General features: G+C 42.0%; 1 annotated feature.

The window, feature by feature from the left end:
* Window positions 3199-4398: an enhancer, noted in NCBI's record as "P300/CBP strongly-dependent group 1 enhancer chr13:49323510-49324709 (GRCh37/hg19 assembly coordinates)". NCBI's record gives its function as "activates an origin of replication core promoter dependent on BRD2, BRD4, P300/CBP, MED14 and CDK7 cofactors, with strong dependence on P300/CBP, by STARR-seq in HCT116 cells {active_cell/tissue: HCT116}" and the evidence as "EXISTENCE:reporter gene assay evidence [ECO:0000049][PMID:35650434]".

Raw genomic sequence — 9749 nt, forward strand, 5'->3', positions numbered from 1 at the left:
ATGTTCTTCTTAACCATCTCAGAGTACTTCTCCTTGCTGCCAGAAAATCATGATGGTGAACAAAGACAAAGAGAGAATTTGATTATTTACCATTTTTCCAACTGCAAAGTCAGTAGGGCATGTCTCCCAGTTAAATATATTGTGGTCCCTTCCATGCGGCATTGAGCCACAGGAGCCAGTATCAGCAAAGGTCATTTTATGTCTTGTAATGTTTGCGAAGATAAAACTGAACTCAAATAGTAAGAATTTTTGTTTTAAGTTCTCACCTTTCCCATGATGCAACAGAGACAACTATGTCAGAATTCAGAAAAACAAAGATGAAAATGTAATATCCATGAAGAATAAGACAAGTCAAATTATATCATACCTGAAAGAAACGGAATTTTGTTTTTAAGGCAAACAAGATCCAGCAGATATAATTTTTGGCTCTTTTGCCACATACAAATCACTAAGAAGCAATAGCATTTTATTATTGCACAAAACAATTCCTGAAGAGAAGAAAATGATGAGTGGGCATTGTCATGTCAGGCTTTTGTTCAGGCTTAAGGAATATATTAAGAAACACCAAGGCAAACATCTATCCAAACCTCATTCAAATAGATGGAGCAGACTCCAAGACTAAAAAGTATAAAATAGCACGCAATAGAACATTGATCTCCATAAGCATACATTACAAATTTTAATGGAAAGTTATTGAAAATAAATTTACTATACCTATTACTTGAGCCTACTCGAGAGAATTCAGAACTAATATTAGAGGAAGAAATGGGCACAGCAGCCAGAACATTCCACAGCTGGGCTTTTGGAATGAGGCAGTAGGAAAAAGCTGTGATTTTGTTGAGTAAAAGGAATGAGCTGGGATCTGGTGTATCCAGAGTCTTTCCTACTCCATATGGGCTTTCTCAAGTCTTGGGGAAGTCACTGTGAAGAAATGCCACTTCCCAAATGAACATTGTGAATGTCTTGGCAATTCATTTCTGAAGCAAATCTTATCTAAATAAGACATGGGAGAAATGAATGGTGATTTGATCATGGTTAGGGGGACCACAGGAAGTGGTCTGCAAAGAGAACAGCTGCTGACCAAAGAAAGCAAATGCTCGATAGTACTTGCTCTGGGCCAGTCACAGGTCTCAGTGCTGTACAGGTGCCAACCCATTAACCCTGAGGACAATCCCATGAACTAATTATTATCATGATGCCGTTTTATACATGAAGAAAATGAGGCACAAGGATGTGAGATAAATTATCTAATATTATTCAGATTAGCCAATGGTAGGACTGGAGTCCAGGTTCTTACATTTTTTTTTTTTTTTTTTGAGATGGAGTCTAGCTCAGTTGCCAGGCTGGAGTGCAGTGGTGCAATCTCCTCTCACTGCAAGCTCCGCCTCCCGGGTTCAAGCAATTCTCCTTCCTCAGCCTCCTGAGTAGCTGGGATTACAGGCACGTGCCACCACGCCCAGCTAATTTTTGTATTTTTAGTAGAGATGGGGTTTCATCATGTTGGTCAGGCTGGTCTGGAACTCCTGACTTCGTTATCCACCCCCCTTGGCCTCCCAAGGTGCTGGGATTACAGGTGGTAACTACCACACTATGAAAGAGGTTTAATAGAATGCTACACATCAGGCAGGGAATAGAAAAATTGGTGCTAAGTCCTTCCACTTTCCATAGCAAGTGCCACAACAATGTCCCATGTATTAGACTTGCAAGATGGTCCTCATCACTGCCATCAAGACTAGAAGACTCCCGTGGTATTAACTTGTCACAAAGACCTAAAGAAAGGCATGCAATCACTGAGGGAGAATTTTTCTGAGGAGAGAAAGAGCCTGGGAGTGGAGACTTGATTAAGAGGCACAACAGAATACTGAAGAAACAACAGGCTGAGATTCAGGAAGCTCTGGAACAATCATTTCAACCTGAACCAAAGGGTTAGGTCTGAAAAGTCTAACAAGAATGTCCAAAGTGTCTCCAAGGGCCCAGGTGAAGTGACCCTGTTAGGCTGGTAATGAACAGAAGAAACAAAAATGATCAGGCCATAGACCAATCATGGTATGAAGCCAAGTCCAGTTAACAAAAATATGCTGCATCCCTGTGAGTTACCTTCTTCATGGTTTACTCCTTTGGTAAAATGGCTTTGCCCATTAAGCACCCAACTAACAGAGTTGTACTGAAGACCATTAGAGGGGCAATGTCTCAGAGAAGCAAAGGGAAAGGAGGCCCTCCCAAGGTCATAGAGGTTAGAGAAGAGCCCCTAATTCCTTCATACCGCCTGTGGAAGGTACTAGCAAGCACACAACTGGTAGCCTTCTCTTCAGTCTGTTCCATTACAGTGGTTTCCTTCTTCTCTGCTGTTATGTTTAATAGGAAAATGCAATGTATCCTCTGAAATTTTAGCTTTGAGATTGCACCAGGATCTAACATGTGGTGCTGCGATGTCCTGACCATGCCACCCTGGCCAGTTCACCAGGCCAGGCAGGGCTGAGCCTGGAGCTAAAACAGATTGCATACCCAGGCTTCCCCCCAGGGCCCAGGACAGCTGTCATATGCCCGTTTCAGGCCACAGAAAGGATGATAAAAAAAAAAATCTGTCTTCTCTCCTCCTTCTCAGAGCCTTTTCTCTGCAAAGCAGTGTTTTTTTCAAAATGGGATAGCCAGCGCCCTGCCAGGGATAGAGGGCAAAAGTCAGCAGCCAAATGAGTCAACTCCATGGTCCCTTCATGACACCATTCAGTCATGAGAGTGTTTTCCCAGAACTCAGCACCCATCTGGGACCTCTGGCCCCTCACACCTGCTGCTTGTTCTGTGGGACATGTCCTGCCCTCTGCTCTAACCCCCTCCTTCCTTGGACCTGCCTGATTCCCATTCATCCCATAGGAATTACCTTGGTGACCTTCCTTGGGAAGTCTGTCTGCCTGCCTCAAGGTTACAGGGTAGGCCATTTATACATATGTGGTCCCTCAGCACCTCCTGTTCACTTCACTATAGGATTTATCAAGCTCTATTGCAATTGCTTGTTTACTTTTATTTTCTCTCCTACTAGACTGTACACTCCGGAGGAAAGGGACTGTGTCTAGGTCATGGCTGATAACCAGTGCCCAATTCTGGGCCTCAACAAATGCCTTGTGGGATGAGCTCATGCTGGAACCTAGCGGGTGTGCAGACTCGTGCATCATTCAGGAGCAGTGTGCTCAAGAACAGTTACTGATGTCAGACAGGCCTGGGCTACAATTCTAGTTCTGCCACTTAGTAGCTAAGTGTTGTTAGACCAGCCCAAAGCTGAATTCTCTCATTCGTAAAATAACAACCACAACAATGATAATACTTACTAATTTTGTTATGATTGCACTACCTACCTCAGGATTTAAATAAGGATTAAGTGAGATATTCTAAGTGCTTAAAATAGACCTTAGCACATTCCAAAGGCTGGGCGACTATTAGCAATACACCTCTCCTCCCCCGATGCCAGGTTCTTCTGCTAGAGTCCATTTTGAAGAGAAAAAATTATTAGATTTGATGAAAATAAAATGGAATTGTTTTTCAAAGGCAGATTCCCATCCAGCAGAAGCACTTAAGACAATCATCTTTCACAACGATGAGTAATATCTCTCACGCTGTCATCCAGAATGACTCACAGCATCAGAGGGTCTCATGTCCAAGGGCGCATTCGAACTGTTTCTTAAGAGTCATTTCTTACTCATCACAAAACTCACCATTAGGTGGCAGCCGAGCCGGGGGCCCTCAGAGAAAAGAGCGAACTGACCTTTGAAGGCAGAGCCGCTACCAGAGGCCACACCGCTGAGAAGCGAACATCTGACTCATCTGGGGAGTGTTAGCCCAGAAATGACAAGGGCTTAATTCAACAACGTGTAAAATATCACATCCCCATGCCCAGAGGAGTACAATAGACCCAGTAAGCCCAAGAGTAATCTCCCCAGAAATAAAAGAATTAGGGCTGTTGACAAATGAAGACAAAAGCTTCTAAACCATTTTAGGTGCTTGTAATAAATTTGATCCCAAGATAATTAAGTGATATTGTGAGCAGCCTCATCTAGTCGTGTGTCTCTCCTGCTTAAAAGCCTTCACTGCCCCACCGGGTTTCTCAATCACTGCCTGTGTGGGTTGCACGGGGGGTAAGACCGGTGTCAGACTCTACAGGGGAGCATAAAAAAAGAAACATTCAATACACCTCCTATTTTCATAATACAAACTGCAGAGAGTAAAGCTTGATGGACTCTATCTGGTGCTAATATGCAGATGATAGAGTGAAAAGGCATGGAAAGGACATGGATTTTCAAAAAGGCATCAGAAACATGGGCATACTAATAACAATAATGTTAATTAACATGTATTAAGTACCTGATATGCACTGTGCTATCTACCTTACGGGCTTTATCTCATTTAGTCCTTAAAATCAGCCCATGAGGTAGGAATTATTAATATTCCCACTTGACAACTAGGGAAACTGAGGCTCAGAGAGATTAAATGATTTGTCTAAAGGCACATAGCTAGAATCCAGAGACAGGATTCAGACCTCAGCAGTCTGACATTGGAGCGATCACAAGGACATCCGAGGAGCTTGGCAGGACTCCTGAGTGCTCTGGTATGTTCCTTCCTTTTTGCCTTCACTCCTCCCAACTGGACGCTTGGTGAGCTAAAGAGCTGCAGAAAAGCAGCTTTCTGGGTTGAGCTGAACATTCCTGAAGCTGAGAGGTTCCACTGAACCAAGAAGAGACCAAAGGATAAACAGCACCATCAAACAGGCATTCGTCCCTGGGCCCTCCATGGCTGAGTACCAGCCAAGACTTTCACTATTCCAAGATAGAAGCCTCCACAGATAGAAATTCCCAGCCTAAACAGGCTTCAGCCCATGGTTATTATTAATAAAATGCAGTCCTCCTTGCCTTGAAAGCTTTGGGAATCTCTCTTCTCCAGCTTTCTTCTTTCAAGGGCAGGGCCCTGCGTTCCCCACACTCTCTCTTACTCTGAGGCCTGGCACGTGCCTTCTTGGCAGTGTTATCATGGCAGATATGCCTTTTAAACTTAGCTCAGACATTGCTTCCTTTGCAGAACCACACCGGCCACACTCAGAGTTCCATGTGCTCTCTTCACCCTCAGAGGACTCTGTAAAAGCCAGCACGGAGCACTTCTCTTACTGTTGTTCACCTATTTGTCAGACTTCAGCACTAGACTATGAGCTCCCTGAGGGCCGGACTCACTCTTGTTCACCTTTAGCTGCTCAGTCCAGCCCAGTGCCTGGAATGAAAGAGAGGTCCATTTCATGTTTACCAAATGAATGGATTCTGAAATACCCTGTCTGCTCTCTGGTTACGCAGTGCAACACCTTAGGCCATAAAATTAGTTCCTGCTTAAAAGCAGGAGCAGGCTCTATGCACTCCCAGTTAGAGTCAGAATCTGAGCAGCTATGTTCCAAGGCTAGACAAGAGTCTGGGACACACTACTACTGAGGCTATTAAAAGGAAGTCTGCGGCCCTGGCCCGGCGTGGTGACTCTTGCCCGTGATCCCAGTGCTTTGGGAGGCTGAGGCAGGAGGATCGCTTGAGGCCAGGAGTTTGAGACCAGCCTAGGCAACAAAGCGAGACACGGTCTCTGAAATTTTTTTTTAATTAGGCAGGCCTGTAGTTCTAGTTGCTCGAGAGGCCAAGGCAGGAGGATCACTTGAGCCCAGGAGTTTGGGGTTGTAGTGAGCCATGATTGCAGCACTGCACTCCAGCCTGGATAATAGAGTGAGACCCTGTCTCTTAAAAATAAATAAATAGAAAATAAAAGGAAGTCTTCAAACATTACCCGTGGGGTTTCCTCAAGAGCCTGTGGGTGCCTGACTCAAGATCCCTGTTTATAGCAAGGAACCAGGGGAGCAGTCCCTCCAGCCCCTGCCTTGGTGCTTCCTCTGGTTCTAATTGTGGTTTTGCCATTACTTTTAATGGCAAAACCCACAATTACTTTTGCAGCAACCTAATAGCAAGGGGTTCTTCCCAAGAGGACACCAGGCCACAGCACATTTTATTTTTTTTCACAATGAACTTTTGGGCTGTTTTCCTTTAGCTGTGCAGCTACAAGGCTAGAGCTTGCATTCACTGTCTTAAGTCCCTTGCAGATACAGGTGCACACATTTTTCAAACTATAGAGCTGTAGCATTTTCATGTCAACTCAATGTTCACAGTGTCAATTTAGTGCCCTCCTTGGGCACAAAACCACAGCAGTGCTCTTGCTGTTTTGCAAGAAATACCTTCTGCAGTCAGCCTCCGCTGAGAGCTGCAGCCCCTGACTTTAGAGCATGCTTCCTGTAAAACTAAAGTGAAATGCATATTTCCAGGTCTTGTCTTGCCAAAAATTTCAAATATATATTGTCAATATTTTATGCTTACAGTGAAGCAGAGAGAATAATATCACAAAAATCTGTTCTTCTCCACCCAGATTTGTCACATGTGAAAATTTTGCTATATTGTTCCCAGATTCTTTTTTAAAGGGGTAAATCATAGGCACAGTTGATGCCTGCAGTTGGGGGTAGGGAGGGGCCCACAATCACATTTCTCTCTCTCTCTTCACTCTATTGAATTTTGATGTTTACCATCCCCAATTTTTTTTTTTTTTTTTTTGAGACAGAGTCTTGCTCTGTCAGTCAGGCTGGAGTGCAGTGGCATGATCTGAGCTCACTGCAACCTCCGTCTCCCGGGCTCAAGCAATTCTCCTGCTTCAGCCTCCCGAGTAGCTGGGACTACAGTGTGTGCCACCACGCCCGGCTAATTTTTGTATTTTTAGTAGAGATGGGGTTTCACCATGTTTGCCAGGCTGGTCTCGAACTCCTGACCTCAGGTAATCCACCTGCCTCGGCCTCCCTAAGTGCTGGGATTACAGGTGTGAGCCACCGCACCCAGCCTATCATCACCAATATTTTAAAATACTCACTACATATGTATACATTCCTAAACAGATATGTTATTGCTTTGAACTATTTTAATAGTATAGAGATGATATCCTACTATACTGATCCTTCCGTTGTTTTTCCTCACTCAACAGTATTATTGTTGAGATTTTAAAATATTGATACACATAGATCTAGTTCATTCACTTTATGGTAGTAAATGCTTTCTTTATCTATTTTGTAGTTGGTAGACATTTAGTTATTCTCCATTTTTTCTCTGTAGAAACAATGCCACAGAGAATTATACATGTCCACTTGTGCACTTTTGAGAACTGTCTCAAGAGTAGACCTGGTGGGTTACAGGATTAGACACCTTTGAAATGTACTAGACGCTGTCAAATTGTTCTCTAACATGGTTGTATCAATTTATACCATCAGTAACAATGGTAAAGTTTTAATTTTTCCATGCTCTTGCCTCTTCTTTATGAGAAACATTTCAAATTTACAGAAAAGTTGCCAGAAAGGTACAATGAACACATGTATATACTTCATCTAGATTCAATGTTATTAACCTTTTGCTACATTTGCTTTTTTATTCTCTCAAAAATTTTCTTGGCCTTTGGTATCCCATATTTCAACATGTATACATATAATAAAATATATAATTAAATATATATCCTAAAACAAGGACATTCTCCTACATAAAATAATGCAGTCATCACACTCAGAAATTGAACATTGATACAATTCTACTATTATGCAGGCCAGTTTCAAATTTTTCCACTGACCTAATAATGCCTTTTATAGATTTTTCCCCAGTCCAGAATTCAATCAGGGATCAAATACTGTGTTGCATTTAATTGTCATGTATCTTTAGTCTCCTTTAATCTTCTTTAATCTAGAAAATTCCCCAGTCTTTTAAAAGAATGTTTCATAACATTGACATTTGTTATCCTTGCCATCTCTTGATAATGTCAGACATTTTAATCTTTGCCAAATTGATCAGGGTGAAATAACATCTCATCGTGGCTTTAATTTGTTTTCCTTTGATTACTAGTGAAGTTGAGATGTTTTTCATATGCATATTGGCAATTAAAATTTCCTTCTTAAAAATTTTCTCTTTAATATCTTTTGCCTGCTTTATTATTATATTGTTTACAATTTTTATAGGTATATAAAAGCTCTAGATATATTCTGGATACTAAACAATTGCCAGTTAAAGGCAATTTTAGCTGTAATGTTTGGCTACACAGCAGAGGTGTTTAATTTGATATTCAAATATATCTAATTTTCCCTTAATAATTTGTAATCTTTGTAAGAAATCCTTCTCCACCCTAAGGTCATAAGATATTCTCATAAAGATAAATATAATTTAAATCTTGAATATACTTGAAATCTATTTTTGTGATAGTGTGTGATAGGGTTCTAGTTAAGCTTTTTCCATATGTAATATCCTAGTGCCATTTATCCAAGAGTTTGTTCTTTCCCCACTGATTCATAATGCCATCTCTGTCATATATTGAGTTTCTATATTTATTCTAGCATTCTGCTCATTCGACTCAAGAGTGGAATTGGTGGATCATAGCTTACAGACATCTTTAACTTTACTAAATATTGCCAAATTGCTCTCAAAAGTGTTCATATTTATTTATATTGCCAATAACAATAACAAAGTTTCCATTTCTTCATACCTTCACTGATATGGTTTGGCTGTGTCCCCATTCAAATCTCACCTTGAATTGTAGCTCCCACAATTCCCATGTGTTGTGGGAGGGACCCAGTGGGAGATAATTTAATCATGGGGACGGGTCTTTCCCATGCTATTCTCATGATAGTGAATAAGTCTCACTAGATCTGATGGTTTATAAAGGGGAGTTTCCCTGCACAAGTTTTCTTCTCTTGTCTGTCACCATGTAAGATGTGCCTTTCACCTTCCACCATGTTTGTGAGGCCTCCCTAGCCATGTGGAACTGTGAGTCCATTAAACCTCTTTTTCCTTATAAATTATCCAGTCTTGGGTATGTCTTTATCAGCAGCATGAAAATGGACTAATACAGTAAATTGGTACTAGTAGAGTGGGGCGCTGCTGAAAAGATATCTGAAAATGCAGAAGTGACTTTAGAACTGGGTAACAGGCACAGGTTGGAACAGTTCGGAGGGCTCAGAAGGAGACAGGAAAACGTGGGAAAGTTTGGAACTCCCTAGAGACTTGTTGAATGGCTTTGACCAAAATGCTGATAATGGTATGGACAATAAAATCCAGGCTGAGGTGGTCTCAGATGGAAATGAGGAACTTGTTGGGAACTGGAGCAAAGGTGACTCTTGTTATGTTTTAGCAAAGAGACTGGTGGCATTTTGCCCCTGCTCTAGAGATTTGTGAAACTTTGAACTTGAAAGAGATGATTTAGAATATCTGGCAGAAGAAATTTCTAAGCAGCAAATCATTCAAGAGGTGACTTGGGTGCTGTTAAAGGCATTCAGTTTTATAAGGGAAGCAGAGCATAAAAGTTCAGAAAATTTGCAGCCTGACAATGGATAGAAAGGAAAATCCCATTTTCTGAGGAGAAATTCAAGCCGGCTACAGAAATTTGCATAAGTAATGAAGAGCCAAATGTTAATCCCCAAGACAATGGGGAAAATGTCCTCAGGTCTTCACAGCAGCCCCTCCCATCACAGATCCTGGAGCCTAGGAGGAAAAAATGGTTTTGTGGGCCAGACCCAGGGTCCCTCTGCTGTGTGCAGTCTAGGGACTTGGTACCCTGTGTCCCAGTTGCTCCAGCTGTGACTAAAAGGGGCCAAGGTACAACTCAGGCTGTGGCTTCAGAGGGTGCAAGCCCCAAGCCTTGGCAGCTTCACATTGTGTTGAGCT

Source organism: Homo sapiens, chromosome 13 (genome assembly GCF_000001405.40).
Source record: "Homo sapiens chromosome 13, GRCh38.p14 Primary Assembly".
Classification (NCBI taxonomy): Eukaryota; Metazoa; Chordata; class Mammalia; order Primates; family Hominidae; genus Homo; species Homo sapiens.